A 14,869-nucleotide genomic window follows, 5' to 3' on the forward strand; every position below is an offset into this window, starting at 1 on the left:
TGGGGTCTGATGATTATATAGTAACAATGTATCCAGAGAGGCCCTGAGAAAGACTTTTTTGGGACAATTAGTAAAATTTGAATGGGGTCTGATGATTTACATAGTAACAATGTATCAGGGTTCATTTCCTGATTTTGATAGTTTATATTGTGGTTCAGTAAGAGGATATTTGTAGAAAAATCACATTAAAGTATATCAGGGTGATGGACCATCATACTAACAATTTACTCTTAAAGAGTTCAAGGAAAAGTCTTCATATTGTATTTGAAATATTTGTTAATCTGAGATTATTTATAAATGAAAAAATTCTTGAAAAATTACTCTTCAAAAAACAGAAAACAGATGAACCTTGAAAATATCATGCTAAGTGAAATAAGCCAGACACAAAGTAACAAATACGGTACCATTCCACTTACACGGGTTTCCTAGAAGAGGCAAATTCATAGACAAAGTAGAGTAGAGGTTACCAGGGGTCAGGGAGAAAATGAGGAGTTACTGTTTAGTGGATACAGAGTTTCTGGTTGGGGTGACGAAAAATTTCTGAATATGAACAGTGGTGATGGTTACACAACACTGTGAATGTACTTAATGCCACTGAATTGTAAAACTAAAAAAAAATTTAAATGGTAATTTTTTTTTTTTTTTTTGAGACAGTCTCGTTCTGTCGCCCAGGCTGGAGTACAGTAGCACAATCTCGGCTCACTGCAACCTCCGCCTCCTGGGTTTAAGTGATTCTTGGGCCTTAGCCTCCCAAGTAGCTGAGATTACAGGCATGCACCACCATGCCCAGCAATGTTTGTATTATTTTTGTGGAGATGGGGTTTCGCCATGTTGGCCAGGCTGGTCTCAAACTCCTGGCCTAAAGTGATCCTCCCACCTTGGCCTCCCAAAGTGCTGAGATTACAGGCGTGAGCCACCACACCTGGCCAAAATGGCAAATTTTATGTTATATATATTTTTCCACAATAAAAAAAAGTGAGGGGAGTTTTTTTCTAAGTGCCCAATAAGTGTTGTTTCTATTATTTAACAGATACAAAAATATTCACTTCAAAATTATTTGTAAATGTGAACAATTAGAAAGTAGTTTAGGGAGTCTCTCTGAACCTATTCTGGTTCAGAGGGCCGCCTGTTAAAAAAACTTTTTAAAGATCTGGGTGTGGTGGCTCACGTCTGTAATCACGGCACTTTGAGAGGCCGAGGCAGGCAGATCACAAGGTCAGGAGTTTGAGAAAAGCCTGGCCAATATGGTGAAACCCATCTCTACAAAAAATACAAAAATTAGCCAGGCGTGGTGGCACATGCCTGTAGTCCCAGCTACTCGGGAGGCTGAGGCAGAAGAATCGCTTGAACCCGGGAGGCAGAGGTTGCGGTGAGCCGAGATTGCGCCACTGCACTCCAGCCTGGGCGACAGAGACTCCATCTCAAAAAAAAAAATTTTAGAAAGAAATAAACTAGCTAAACTATTCCACAATAAAGAAATGATTAAATAAATTATATGGAATTTTTTTTACCCCCCAGTCTATTATTTTATAACCAGTTCATAAAAAGTTTCTTGGGGGGTGACATATTACTTACACATCTATTGTGTAGTAAACATGTATGTATATGTGTGTGTACCCAACTACTTTGTTGGAGTGATTGCTGTGGTTTGGAACTGCTGGGGCCAAATTTATGCACAAATCTACATTTTTGAGTAAACTCCTCATGACTAGAGTAAGTTTCCTCAGTATTTGAGAATTCTTCATTTTCTAAAGCTGTACCAACATCAGATATCAATATTTGTAAGCACAAATAATGTAATTTATAATAAAATTGCTTTCTCAACTATTAGTATTAACTATATATCATCTTCATATAGCCTTATAACTCATTTGTACTATTCCATTTTCCTCTGTTCCTTTTATTTTCACTTTCCGTGTAATGTTAGTCTGTACTGAGTTCTGAAGAGTTCATTTATGATTAAAGATGTTAACAGATTTAACATCTTGTCAAGCATTGCAAAAAAAAAAAAAGAATTTCTCTCTCTCTCTTTTTTTTTTTTTTTTTTTTTTGGACAGGCGCGGTGGCTCACACCTATAATCCTAGCACTTTGGGAGGCCGCGACAGGTGGATCGCCTGAGCTCAGGAGTTCGAGACCAACCTGAACAATATGGCAAAACCCCGTCTCTACTAAAAATACAAAAATTAGCCAAGCATGGAGGCAGGCACCTGTAATCTCAGCTACTCGGGAGGCTGAGGCAAGAGAAACACTTGAATCTGGGAGGCGGAGGTGCAGTGAGCCAAGATTGCACCATTACACTCCAGCTTAGGTGACAGAGTGAGACTTCATCTCAAAAAAAAAAAAAAAAAAGCATTTAAAACAGCACTGAGGCTGGACATGGTGGCGAATGGCTGTAATCCTAGCACTATGGGAGCCCAAGGTGGGCAAATCGTTTGAACCCAGGAGTTCAAGGGTGCAGTAAGCCATGATTGCACCACTGCACTCTAGCCTGGGTGACAGTGAGACCCTGTCTCAAAAAAATAAAATAAAATAAAATCGTATTGAGCTGAGCCAGGTGTGGTGTCATATGCCTGTAATCCCATCTACTCCAGAGGCTGAGCAGGTCAAGGAGATCACTTAAGCCCACGAGTTCTAAGCCAGCCTGGGCAACATAATGAGGCCCCATCTCTTTAAAAAAGAAAAAGAAGAAGAAGAAGAAGAAGGATTAAGTGTATGATGCTCCCTGTTTTTAAGCAAAACAGTTTGAGTGTAAACAGGAGTGGCTATTTCTCTTAGGTGGGATTATATATGATTATTCTTGCTTTCTGTACATTTGCAACAAATATGATTTACTTTTATAACCAGGAAAAGTTTAAAGCTATAAAATTAAGAAAATCAAAAAGTATATTCATTTATCTAAAATCTTGTGATCTTTGTTTTGTTGTTGTTGGGTTTTTGGCATTTATTATAGTGAAACAGAAGTTTTAACAAGTAGTTTAAATCAAGAATCCTAGGCTGGGCGCAGTGGCTCACGCCTGTAATCCCAGCACTTTGGGAGGCTGAGGCGGGTGGATCACAAGGTCAGGAGTTCGAGACCAGCCTGGCCAACATGGTGAAACCCCATCTCTACTAAGAATACAAATATTAGCCAGGCACAGTGGTGGGCACCTGTAATCCCACCTACTCGGGAGGCTGAGGCAGGAGAATTGCTTGAACCTGGGAGAAGGAGGTTGCAGTGGGTCAAGATCGCGCCACTGCACTCCAGCCTGGGGGACAGAGCAAGACTCCGTCTCAAAAAAAAAAAAAAAAAAAAAGAATCCTAAACTTATTAGAGCTAGCCACCCCTTCACATCTGAAATTAAATCCTTATATATTTGGGTTGCTAAAAGATGATGAAAGATATGTGACCATCTCACTTTCCTTAACATGCTGTCTCTCCAGTTCTGCTCGGTACAATCACCCAAGTTTAAAGACAATCTATATACAGGTTACATATCCCTAATCCAAAAATGCAAAATCCAAAATGCTCCAAAATCTGAAACTTTCTGAGAGTCAACTGATGCTCAAAGAAAATGCTCATTAACATTCTGAATTTTCTAATTTGGGATGCTTCAACCAGTAAGTAAGCAGAATGTATGTATATATTCCAAAATCCCAAAAAAATCCAAAATCCAAAAAACTTCTGGTCCCAAGCATTTTGGATAAGGAATACTCAATTTTGTACTATACAGATTCCATCACTTTACTCCACCATTTTTCTCAATCCTAACTATGATATAAATTAGGTATGTATTCTGATGTAGGTATGCCTGCAGCTATGCAAATCTCCCCCATTACAGAGGCCCTAGCAACATCAATCGGCTCACCTCAAATGGGTTCAAATTGAAGTAAGAGGAACCAGGACGGGTCAGTCTTTCAATCTGATTTTTCGAAGTTAGAACCGAGTCTCTCTTCTCTATTTGTTTCACCTAAAATTATGAGGATTAAAAACTTCATTAATAGAATTCAATAACAAACTGAATTATCTTAACAAAATGTTCACTGATATGTTCAACAAACATTTATTTGTGTGTTTACCATGTGCAAGACATTTTGCTAAATGCTTTGAGAAATTAAAACTACCATTTGTTGAATTTTAATATAAAAACCTTACATGTATTTATTAATCTCAACAACCCTATGTGGTAGATACTGCTGTTATACCCAATTCACAGATAAGAATACTGAGGCTTAGAGAAGGTAACTGACTTGTTCCCAATTACCCAACTTGTAAGCCAGAATTTTAACCCCAACAGTTTGACCCCACAGCAGGCATCAAGAGGATTCAAAGATAAATAAGTCACAGCCTTTAAAGAACTTCCACTTTAATGATGGAAGATGTGCTTGTGTGTGATTATACTTCATTTATAGCTTTTAATTTTAAGAAAAAAAAAATAGGCTGGGCACAGTGGCTCACGCCTGTAATCCCAACACTTTGGGAGGCTGGGGGGTGGGCAGATCATGAGGTCAGGAGATGGAGTCCATCCTGGCCAACATGGTGAAACCCCGTCTCTACTAAAAATACAAAAAATTAGCTGGGCATGGTGGCATGGCGTGTAGTCCCAGCTACTTGGGAGGCTGAGGCAGGAGAATCGCTTGAACCCCAGGGACAGAGGTTGCAGTGAGCCAAGATCGCGCCACTGGACTCCAGCCTGGGAGACACAGCGAGACTCCGTCTCAAAAAAGAAAAAAAAAAAGTAAGAGATTTCTCTGTGAGGAAAAAAAATAAAGAAAAAAATTTAAAGAGCAAAAAAAGGAAAAATACAATCACAGTAAGACATAAACTATGAGCAGCATTTAAAACTGTTGATGGGAAGGAACAAACAACTCCACCACCTAATTCTAATAGTGTTAGAAAAAATCCCTGACTTGGCCAGGCGGAGTAGCTGTCACCTGTAATCCCAACATTTTGGGAGGCTGAGGTGGGTGGATTGCTTGAGCTCAGGAGTTTGAGACAAGCCTGGGCAACATGGCGAAACCCCATCTCTATTTTTAATTTAAAAAAAAGAAAGAAAGAAAAAAGAAAAATCCCTGACCTGAAGACAATGCCAGGGAGAACAAGCACCAGGCAGTCCCAGGAAAACATTCTTGGTGTCACTGTCAGAGTTGGAATGCTAGTTGGAATGAATCTCTGGTATGCTATATGCCATCTTTATTCCTATAGCCAAAACAAGGTTGGAAAGAATTTCATTAACATAAAAAGTCATTCCTTCTAGACATCTTCCCTCTTCACTCTATGAAAACAGGATTTTTTTTCTCTCTTGTTCACTACCGTATCCTCAACACCTAAATAGCAAACTAGTACATTTCCAATGTTCAATAAACATCTGTTAAATGAATGAGGCCAGTGTGGTGGCTTATGCCTGTAATCCCAGCACTTTGGGAGTCTGAGGCAGGAGGATCACTTGGGTGCAGGAATTCAAGACCAACCTGAGCAACATGGCAAGACCTTGTCTCTATTTTTTAAAAAAATGACTGAATTACCCTTCCTTAGATATTTTTTCCCATCCAATTCAAACAAAGGTTGCCATTTGGTTTTTTGTTTGTTTTTGTTTTTTGAGAAGGGGTCTTGCTCTGTCACCCAGGGTGTACTGCAGTGACAGAAGACAGATCATGGCTCACTGCAACCTCCACCTCCTGGGCTCAAGTCATCCTCCAGTCCTCTTGCCTCAGCCTTCCGGGCAGCTGAGACTACAGGCAGTGCCTGCCAGGTGTCTAGACCTAAATGTAATACTTTGGAGAAACTACTATGTAACAAGTACTGTTACAATTGCAAGAAATAAAAGATGGATGTGATATGGTCCTTAACCCTGAATAGCTCACAGCCTGCTGGGGGGCAACTCCATTCCTCAAACCCATGCCACCCTACAGAGGTCCCATCTTCTGCCTTGTTTAACCCTGAGAAAGATGCTTCTGCTTTATTTTTTTATGAAACGCTTTCTTATACAATAACTTTAGTCCTCATGAAAATGTTTATTTTAAAATTAACTCTCTTGCCAAGCACAGTGGCTCATGCCTGTAATCCCAACACTTTGGGAGGCCAAGACGGGAGGATTGCTTGAGCCCAGGAGTTTAAGACCAGCCTGGGCAACACAACAAGACCCTGTCACAACAAAAAAAATACAAAAATCAGCCAGGCATGGTGGCCTGAGCTTGTAGTCCCAGCTACTGATGTGGGAGAATCACTTGAGCCCAGAAGGCAGAGGTTGTGCATTCCAGCTTGGGCAAGAGTGAGGCTCTGTCTCAAAATAAATAAATTAAATTAAATTAACTCTCTTGTTTTTACAGATGTGGAATATGAAGATCTGCAAAATTAATGTCTTGAACAAATTCAATCCCGGCCAGGCGTGGTGGCTCAAGCCTGTAATCCCAGCAACTTTGGGAGGCCGAGGCGGGAGGACCTTAAGTCAGGAGATCAAGACCAGTCTGGCCAACATGGTGAAACCCCCGTCTCTACCAAAAATACAAAAATTAGCCAGGCGTGGTGGCAGGCGCCTGTAATCCCAGCTACTCGGGAGGCTGAGGCGAGAGAATCACTTGAACCAGGGAGGCAGAGGTTGCAGTGGGCCAAGATCGTGCCACTGCACTCCAGGCCTGGGCAACAAGAGCAAAACTCCGCCTTAGGAAAAAAAAAAAGAATTCAATCCCAGTCCAGTCAGGTTAACTGTCTTCCAAGAATTTTTTTCTTTTTTAGACAGTCTCTCGCTCTGTCACCCAAGCTGGAGTGCAGTGGCGCGATCTCTGCTCACTGCAAGCTCTGCCTCCCGGGTTCACGCCATTCTCCTGCCTCAGCCTCCCGAGTGGCTGGGACTACAGGCGCCCACTACCAGGCCCAGCTAATTTTTTGTATTTCTAGTAGAGACGGGGTTTCACCGTGGTCTCGATCTCCTGACCTCGTGATCCGCCCGTCTCGGCCTCCCAAAGTGCTGGGATTACAGGCGTGAGCCACCGCGCCCAACCAAGAATTTTTTTTTCTATCCTTTTTTTCCTTCTTTTTAAAGAGACAGGGTCTCACTCTCGCCAAAAATGGAGTGCAGTGGTCCGATCATAGGTCACTGCAGCCTCGAGCTTTTGGGTTCCTCCCGCCTGGGCCTCCCAAAGTGCTGGGATTACAGATGTGAGCCACTGTGCCCAGCCCCTTGCAATAATTTAATCTGAGATTCTGACTCCAAACGGCATGCTTTTATTTCATTTATTCATTCATTCACTCAACAAATATTTACTGAGCATCCACTACATACTATGCGCTGGAGATGCGATAGTAAAGGAGGCTCAGAACAAGCCCACTGCTGTCCTAACATACCACCAAGCAAGCTGTAACCTACTGTAAGGCCCCAAACTATTTCACCTCCCTAAAGCTCAGGTTCGTCATCTGTAAAATGGGGGTAATATAATGCCTAACTGGCATGATACACAGTGCCTGGCGTTCGTGAATGGCAGAAACAACCACTAAAACAACTCATTACAAAGGACTAAGAAACGTCTCGGGGGCCAAGAAGGCTAAGTCACTCCCAGGAAGGGCCCAGCCTCTGCCAGCCCCCGACTCCGCGGACTTGGGGCACTCTGCCCGCGCGCCCGCACTATGTTGGACACACTCGCCACCTCCCTCGATAGATCGAACACCATTCCCTCTTTCGTTGCCCCGGGGGATCTCCCAGCAGCTATCAGTGGGAGACGCTCACACACCCCCAGACCCCCGCCACCCCGAAGACTGGACTGAAGGAATCGCCCAACGGTCCAGGCCAGGCGGCCACTGCCTTTGTCCACTGGGAAAGCAGATCCGGGAGCGGTCGCCCCGGTGCCACTACTCCTCACTCTGTGTTCACCTCACTGTAGAAGGTCATAAATGCTTCCTCGGTGCTGCCTCCGCCGCCTGAAGTCCCGCTCTCTCCTGAAGCCGCCATTTCCCCGGCCCAGCCACCACGTGACCCTTCTGCGCAGGCGTCGCCTCACGTGATTCTTACAGGTCCGCTCCTCTAGCCCCGCCTCCCGTCTGAGAGGTTCTTAAAGGGCTCGCAGCCCAGCCAGGCACTTTAAAAGTAGGTGGGCTTTTTAAAATTTAAACGAATTACACATAACATATAATTAACCACTTTAAAGTAAATAATGTGCTTAAGTTATTGTTAGGTAAAAAATAATAAGAAGAATAAAAGAAAAAGTGAATAATTCAGTGGGTTTATTTATTTATTTATTTTTGAGACAGGATCTCTGTCGTCCAGGCTGGAGTCGAGTGGTGCAATCACAGCTCACTGCAGCCTCGACCTCCCAAGCTCAAGCGATCCTCTCACTTCAGCCTCCCGAGTAGCTGGGACTGCAGGCGCGCGCCACCATGCCCGGCTAATTTTATGTACTTTTGTGGAGACGGGGTCTTGCCATGTTGCCCAGGCCTCCCAAAGTACAGGAATTACAGGCATGAGCCACCGCGCCGGACCGGCTCAGCTGTCTTCAGAACATTCACAATGTTCTGCAACCACCATGTCTACCTGGTTCCAAAATAGTTTCATCACCTCAAAAGGAGACTTAGTATCTACTTTTTTTTTTTAGACGGAGTCTCACTCTGTCACCCAGGCTGGAGTGCAGTGGCGCCTCCCCGGTTCCAGAAATTCTGCCTTAGCCTCCCGAGTAGCTGAGATTACAGACAAACGCCACCATGCCCCGCTAATTTTTATATTTTTAGTAAAGCCGGATGTTCACCATGTTGGCCAGGATGGTCTACGATCTCCTGACGTCGTAATCCGCTCGCCTTGGCCTCCCAAAGTGCGGGGATTACAGGCGTGAGCCACCGCGCCTGGCCGAGGAGACCTAGTACCTATTAAGCAGTTACTCCCTATTCGCCCCCTCTCCCCAGTCCCTGAAAACAAGCAATCTGTGTTCTATCTATATGGATTTACCTATTCTGGATATTTCACATAAATGGAGTTAAACAATATGTGAATACGTATTTCACATAAATGGAATTAAACAAAATACCAGGTAGGGCTGCTATTTTCTCAACTAAAATATAATCAATAAAGCCAGTTTTACTATTTCATAGAAAACAAAGAAGGTTTTGTTTTGTTTTGTTTTTTTGAGGCAGAGGCTTGCTCTGTTGCCCAGGCTGGAGTGCAGTGGCATGATCTTGGCTCACTGCAACCGCCGCCTCCCAGGTTCAAGCAATTCTCCTGCCTCAACCTCCTGAGTAGCTGAGATTACAGGCGCATGTCACCACGCCCGGCTGATTTTTGTATTTTTAGTAGAGACGGAGTTAGTCAGGCTGATCTCGAACTCCTGACCTCATGATCCATGCGCCTCGGCCTCCCGAAGTGCTGGGATTACAGGTGTGAGACACCACGCCCAGCCCCAAAGAAGGTATTTTTATAATCATCAATCAGGTAGATAATCTGGCCCAATTCTCTCATCTAAAAAAGAAGAAACAGAGAAGAGAAAATGAGTTAGAGAAGAGCTATAAACTTCATGAGAGTAAAGACTACTGTTGTCTTGTTCACATTCATTAGATGGATGAAGGGAGGTTAAGGTCAAGCTTTCCCTAGACTCCTACTTATCCTTTTTTTTTTTTTTTTTTTTTTTTTTTGAGACAGAGTTTCGCTCTTGTTACCCAGGCCGCAGTGCAATGGCGTGATCTCAGCTCACCGCAACCTCAGCCTCCCGGGTTCAAGCATTCTCCTGCCTCAGCCTCCCAAGTAGCTGGGATTACAGGCATGTGCCACCACGCCTAGCTAATTTATTTTTTATTTTTATTTATTTATTTTTGAGACAGTTTCTCTCTTGTTGACCAGGCTGGAGTGCAATGGCGTGATCTCAGCTCACTGCACCCCCTGCCTCTCAGGTTCAAGCGATTCTCCTGCCTCAGCCTCCCGAGTAGCTGGGATTACAGATATGCGCCACCATGCCCAGCTAATTTTTCATATTTTTTTTTTAGTAGAGATGGGGTTTCTCCATGTTGGTCAAGCTGGTCTCGAATTCCCAACCTCAGGTGATCTGCCCGCCTCGGCCTCCCAAAGTGCTGGGATTACAGGTGTGAGCCACCGCGCCTGGCCTGCTCTTTTCTACTGCATTGCACCACATTGCCAAAAGTGCAGTTATTAAGCCCATTCAACAATATGTTGCTAACGAAAAAAACAAACTAAAATATTTTTAAAAGGTTTATTCTGAGCCAAGATGAGTGACCATAGCTTGGGGAAACACAGCCTCAAGAGGTCCTAGGAAACTGTGCCTGAGGTGGTCAAGTTATAATTTGGGTTTTCTTTTTTTTTTTTTTGTTTTGAGACGGAGTCTCGCTTTGTCACCAGGCTGGAGTGCAGTTGCGCAATCTCGGCTCACTGCAACCTCCGCCTCCCGGGTTCAAGCCAATTCTCCTGTCTCAGCCTCCTGAGTAGCTGCGATTACAGTCGCGTGCCACCGCACCCGGCTGATTTTTGTATTTTTAGTAGAGACGGGGTTTCCCCATGTTGGCCAGGCTGGTCTCGAACTCCGGACCTCAGGTGATCCACCCACTTCGGCCTCCCAAAGTGTTGGGATTACAGGCGTGAGCCACCGCGCCCAGCCAGAACACTGACACTTCTCATAACAAATGAACGCGATTTATGTATATCTAAGCCAGGGCACATTGGACGTCGGTATCCTGGACATCAGCATCCTGGACACAGCTCCCAAACCCCGAATTCCCCCATTTTATTGATGCTAGCAGGCCAGGGAAGGGAAAACTTCCTTTGGGCTTTGAATAATAACGACTTTAGAATTGAAATCGTGGGCTGGAGGTGGACGCCACGCCTCATTCTGATGGGTCCAAGAGCCGAAATTTCGGCTTCTGGCACTCTCCTCACTCAGCTCTCTAAACTCCTCCATCATTCCTCTTTCCAGTCCTTTGGCCCTAAGCCCTTGCTAGCGGTTGGCTAAGAAGAAACCCGTCTCTTGCTCGGGATTCGCTGTGAGCTCCGGGAAGCCCGCCTCCGCTCTCCCGTGATTCGCTACTCCTGTGTTCATCCGCCCCTCCGTCGACCAGATTGGGTGCTTGGCCGTCCCTGCCATTAGCGCGTAACGAGAGACTGCTTGCTGCGGCAGAGACGCCAGAGGTGCAGCTCCAGCAGCAATGGCAGTGACGGCGTTGGCGGCGCGGACGTGGCTTGGCGTGTGGGGCGTGAGGACCATGCAAGCCCGAGGCTTCGGCTCGGATCAGGTACGCTGCGGCAGTGTCCGCTGCTCCAGCCCCGCGGGCGGATCCCATCTTTGCTTCCGTACCTTTACCAGTGTCCCTGTCTCTCTGCAGTCCGAGAATGTCGACCGGGGCGCGGGCTCCATCCGGGAAGCCGGTGGGGCCTTCGGAAAGAGAGAGCAGGCTGAAGAGGAACGATATTTCCGGTGAGGCTCACCGGGTCCCAAGTCCAGCCCTGGATCTCCCAATGGCCTTCCAATCCTTAAACTGCCAATCGCCCCACCCGTTCCTACCTGGTGCCTTGGGCGCCCCATCCCCCAACAGAACTCCCGGGCCCCAATCCAGTATACCCTAACCCTTGATGTCCCGACCGTTGCCACGTATAGGGCACTCCCAGTTACCTGCACAACAGTTTCAGGCCCCCAAACCGTTTCCACCGGCGGGTCTCCAAAACAACCCACGGCTCAACTCCTCCTTTATCATTACCATCTCCCGCGTGGAGTTCTCCTCAGGTCGTGCGAAACACCCCCAGATTCTTCGCACAGTGTCTAGATCCGACCGCCCAACGTTTGCCTCCCAGCCTGACTCCCTCGGCCCTTACCCACCTGTCACCCCCTCTACGCTCTCCTTCCTCGCCAGCACGCCTTAGCTTTGCAAGCCTGCATGCATTCAGGCTTCTCAGGTGTTTCTAGACCCCCGACTCCGCAAGAGTGAGGATGATGGGAGCTGGTCATGGGAGCTACTTATGGTTGGACACCATCTTCTAAAGGCTTTTGCCCTACTCAGCCCAACCTAGACCTGTAGATTTCCCTCTCCTGCTTAGGAGTATGGAGTGGGCTGGGCCTCCCTTTGCCAGCCTTGAGTTATCTTTAACTGACTTCTGTCCACTCTGGAGAGCAGTGAGGAATTAATCTTGCTTTTGCTTGTCCTTTGGCCTTTCACTTCTGCCTTCTGTTGAGAATTATCACCATGACACCTGCCATACCGTATAGAGAGCCAAGGTACAGCCGTTAGAGACTATCTAATTGAGCCCCTACATTTTGTAGTTAAGGAAAACTGAGGCCTAAATGTGACCAAACCAACATTGTAATCCAGTCCCTTCTTGGAACCTAAATTGAACTGCCAAGTACTGCGCATGCAAGAGACCCTTTATTGGCCTTACAGTGGGCCATTCATTTCTATAGGCAAAGAAAGCTCTAGACAGATTGGAATAGGAAATGGATATTTGCCTTTTAGCTACACCCCTTTGTCTGTCTTCCTCATTTTGTTCCTTTTTTTTTCCCTAAAGGGGAGTCAAGTTCCCTGGGTTGTTCCCCTCATAAGGTATTAGGGACTTGTGTCACATCTCTCTGGAGTTTTCTATTTTAAAGAGGAATCTGAAAGCAATAAGCTCTTTGGTCTTCTTAAGATGGCTACACCTCAATTTAAGATGGGGTATTCTTTCACTAGTTGAGGAGTAGAAGAGGATGACCAGCTAGACTCCCATGGAATTGGAACTCCTATTCCTTGCTTAGACATTACAGGTTATGCTTTGAGATCTCTTTGGGGTGAAGGATTGAAATTAAACCCTGAGCCACCGTGTCCTTGTAGAGCACAGAGTAGAGAACAACTGGCAGCTTTGAAAAAACACCATGAAGAAGAAATCGTTCATCATAAGAAGGAGATTGAGCGTCTGCAGAAAGAAATTGAGCGCCATAAGCAGAAGATCAAAATGCTAAAACATGATGATTAAGTGCACACCGTGTGCCATAGAATGGCACATGTCATTGCCCACTTCTGTGTAGACATGGTTCTGGTTTAACTAATATTTGTCTGTGTGCTACTAACAGATTATAATAAATTGTCATCAGTGAACTGTGTTTGATGCCTTCTTCTATCTGGAAGAGATAGACAGACACCAATGGACTGCTAAAATGGATTAGAGGCGTCCCTGCATCCAGGAACCCACAGACAATGCACAGTGTGATAAGTGCTATGAAACAACACGAGTTGGGGGGATAGGTGTGACACAGACAAAGTACCCCTCCCCGTCTAATTAGAGGTGTTCAGAGAAAGCTTCCTGAAGGATAAATCCCAATCTGAAGCATAAAGATCAGGAGGATCCTGGAGATCCGAAGGAGTCATTGCTTCAAAAGATACAATTAGGCCAGGTGCGGTGGCTCATGCCTGTAATCCCAGCACTTTGGAAGGCCAAGGTGGGTGGATCACCTGAGGTCAGGAGTTCAAGACCAGCCTGGACAACAGTAAAACCCCATCTCTATTAAAAATACAAAAATTAGCCAGGTGTGGTGGCACGCACCTGTAGTCCCAGCTACTCAGGAGGCTGAGGCAGGAAAACCACTTGAACCTGGGAGGTGTAGGTTGCAGTGAGCCGAGACTGTGCCACTGCACTCCAGTCTGGGTGACAGAATGAGACTCTGTCTCAAAAAAAAAAAAAAAAAAGATACAATTGAAAGTACCATCAGTTAAAACAGCATTTTGCATTTTTAAAATGGTTTAGAGGATACTTAATATGAGCTAGTCATCCTTGTTCTAATTTTGTAGATTGAGAGAACTGGAATTAGAAATCATGTGATTTATACAGTCACTCAGCACCTTGGCAGTGAGACTTGTGTCCAGGTTTTTTGACTACTAAACCAAGTCTGTTATTAGCAGAAAATCAGAATTATTTCTTAGGTTATATTTTGCTTTGCCAAGTATTTTGTTTCAAATTAGACTTGAGGGCCTAGTATAACTAAATTATTATACAAACTAGTTGTGTAACTCCTCTAGGCAAAAAAATTTGAGGTGACATTTGGGCCATTAGCAAAACATTTTCAGTTCACCAGTTCAGTAGAGTATTTGCCCAGGATTGTAATGAGTTATTTGTTCTAAGACCCTATCTATCTCACAAGGGCCTGTAGGACCATTGAGTGATAAAAGCTTGGAGAAGTCGCATTGACCTTGTCTGTACAGACAAAACACTAGATAGTTTGACTTGCCCATGAAACTGAACACAGCCAGGTGTGGTATGTGCCTACAGTTCAGCTACTTGGCAGTCTGAGGCAAGACGATTGCTTGAGCCCAGGAGTTCCAGACATGCCTGGGCAGCATTTTGACCCCATCTCTTTAAAAAAAAAAACAAAAAACAAAAAACTAAACTTTGAATTATAATGATTATAATGTTGCTGAATCTCAGCACTGAGGCCTCAGTAGTGCCTATAAATCTTGCAAGTGGCCAGCAACAAAATAACCTGAAAAGATGAAGTTCAAGAAACAATCATACTAAGTCAAATGCCTTTTATTTTAACATTATTAACAGTGCAACACTTGAAAAGTTTAAAAATTGGAAACAAGTATTAGCAAACATCTTTAATTTTGCATATTTGTAACCAAAAAAACAAGGTATACAAAATCCCCTGAATTTGTACATGATGGTGTTTTTTTGACTTATAATCAACAATTGCCTTACTAAGAGTGATGTTCCTGAATTGTTTCCTCAGTAAAGGTGTACCATAGGCTGGGTGCGATGGCTCATGCCTGTAATCCCAGCACTTTGAGAGGCCGAGGCAGGCGGATCATCTGAGGTCAGGAGTTCAAGACCAGCCTGGCTAACATGGCAAAACCCCATCTCTACTAAAAATACAAAAATTAGCCATGTGTGGTGTTGGGCACCTGTAATCCCCGCTACTCGGGAGGCTGAGGCAGGAGAATTACTT

At 44.6% G+C, this 14,869-nt stretch overlaps 2 protein-coding genes across 5 annotated transcripts in view, besides 5 other annotated features; one reads left to right on the forward strand and one right to left on the reverse strand.

Annotated features, from left to right (window-relative positions):
• DNAJC8 (DnaJ heat shock protein family (Hsp40) member C8) overlaps window positions 1–7,954 on the reverse strand; it is a 32,752-nt gene extending 24,798 nt beyond the window's left edge. The window contains exons 1-3 of one of the 2 annotated variants that reach the window (NR_159454.1): window positions 7,846–7,954; window positions 5,056–5,177; window positions 3,847–3,948 (exon numbers count right to left, since the gene is read on the reverse strand). Coding sequence is in view for 1 of the 2 variants with exons in the window: in NM_014280.3 (NP_055095.2) it covers window positions 3,847–3,948; window positions 7,846–7,923 (180 nt within the window). In the remaining variant the exon portion in view is untranslated. The remainder of the gene's footprint in view (window positions 1–3,846; window positions 3,949–5,055; window positions 5,178–7,845) is intronic. The other variant, NM_014280.3, reaches the window with a different exon arrangement.
• Window positions 7,644–8,177: an enhancer, noted in NCBI's record as "H3K27ac hESC enhancer chr1:28559230-28559763 (GRCh37/hg19 assembly coordinates)". NCBI's record gives its function as "activates a minimal SCP1, AML or CMV promoter by ChIP-STARR-seq in naive H9 embryonic stem cells {active_cell/tissue: H9 hESC(naive)}" and the evidence as "EXISTENCE:reporter gene assay evidence [ECO:0000049][PMID:30033119]".
• Window positions 9,948–10,454: an enhancer, noted in NCBI's record as "H3K27ac-H3K4me1 hESC enhancer chr1:28561534-28562040 (GRCh37/hg19 assembly coordinates)". NCBI's record gives its function as "activates a minimal SCP1, AML or CMV promoter by ChIP-STARR-seq in naive H9 embryonic stem cells {active_cell/tissue: H9 hESC(naive)}" and the evidence as "EXISTENCE:reporter gene assay evidence [ECO:0000049][PMID:30033119]".
• Window positions 9,948–10,511: a biological region, named in NCBI's record as "H3K27ac-H3K4me1 hESC enhancer GRCh37_chr1:28561534-28562040".
• Window positions 10,287–10,511: a silencer, noted in NCBI's record as "fragment chr1:28561873-28562097 (GRCh37/hg19 assembly coordinates)". NCBI's record gives its function as "represses an EF-1alpha promoter that drives an FKBP-Casp9 reporter gene in an ReSE screen in phorbol 12-myristate 13-acetate-treated (for megakaryocytic differentiation) K562 erythroleukemia cells {active_cell/tissue: K562(+PMA)}" and the evidence as "EXISTENCE:reporter gene assay evidence [ECO:0000049][PMID:32094911]".
• ATP5IF1 (ATP synthase inhibitory factor subunit 1) lies at window positions 11,049–13,025 on the forward strand. 3 transcript variants are annotated; one of them, NM_178190.3, is made up of 3 exons: window positions 11,049–11,195; window positions 11,286–11,377; window positions 12,686–13,025. In NM_178190.3, exons 1-3 carry the CDS (start codon window positions 11,109–11,111, stop codon window positions 12,720–12,722), a joined length of 216 nt encoding a protein of 71 aa, NP_835497.1. In that variant the 5' UTR covers window positions 11,049–11,108; the 3' UTR covers window positions 12,723–13,025. The 3 variants fall into 3 exon arrangements, with proteins under 3 accessions (NP_835497.1, NP_057395.1, NP_835498.1); NM_016311.5 differs by having other exon boundaries at window positions 12,762–13,025; NM_178191.3 differs by having other exon boundaries at window positions 11,286–13,025.
• Window positions 11,248–11,307: an enhancer, noted in NCBI's record as "active region_591". NCBI's record gives its function as "activates an Ori minimal core promoter by ATAC-STARR-seq in GM12878 lymphoblastoid cells {active_cell/tissue: GM12878}" and the evidence as "EXISTENCE:reporter gene assay evidence [ECO:0000049][PMID:35858748]".
• Window positions 13,026–14,869: the final 1,844 nt, after the last annotated feature.

Source organism: Homo sapiens, chromosome 1 (genome assembly GCF_000001405.40).
Source record: "Homo sapiens chromosome 1, GRCh38.p14 Primary Assembly".
Taxonomy (NCBI): Eukaryota; Metazoa; Chordata; class Mammalia; order Primates; family Hominidae; genus Homo; species Homo sapiens.

Bases quoted from the DNA above. Each gene is read 5' to 3' on its own strand.
- ATP5IF1 (NM_016311.5), top strand. From the start codon at position 11,109: ATGGCAGTGACGGCGTTGGCGGCGCGGACGTGGCTTGGCGTGTGGGGC. The intron at 11,196-11,285 runs GTACGCTGCGGC...GTCTCTCTGCAG, and splicing joins GAGGCTTCGGCTCGGATCAG to TCCGAGAATGTCGACCGGGG. The intron at 11,378-12,761 runs GTGAGGCTCACC...GTGTCCTTGTAG, and splicing joins GAAGAGGAACGATATTTCCG to AGCACAGAGTAGAGAACAAC.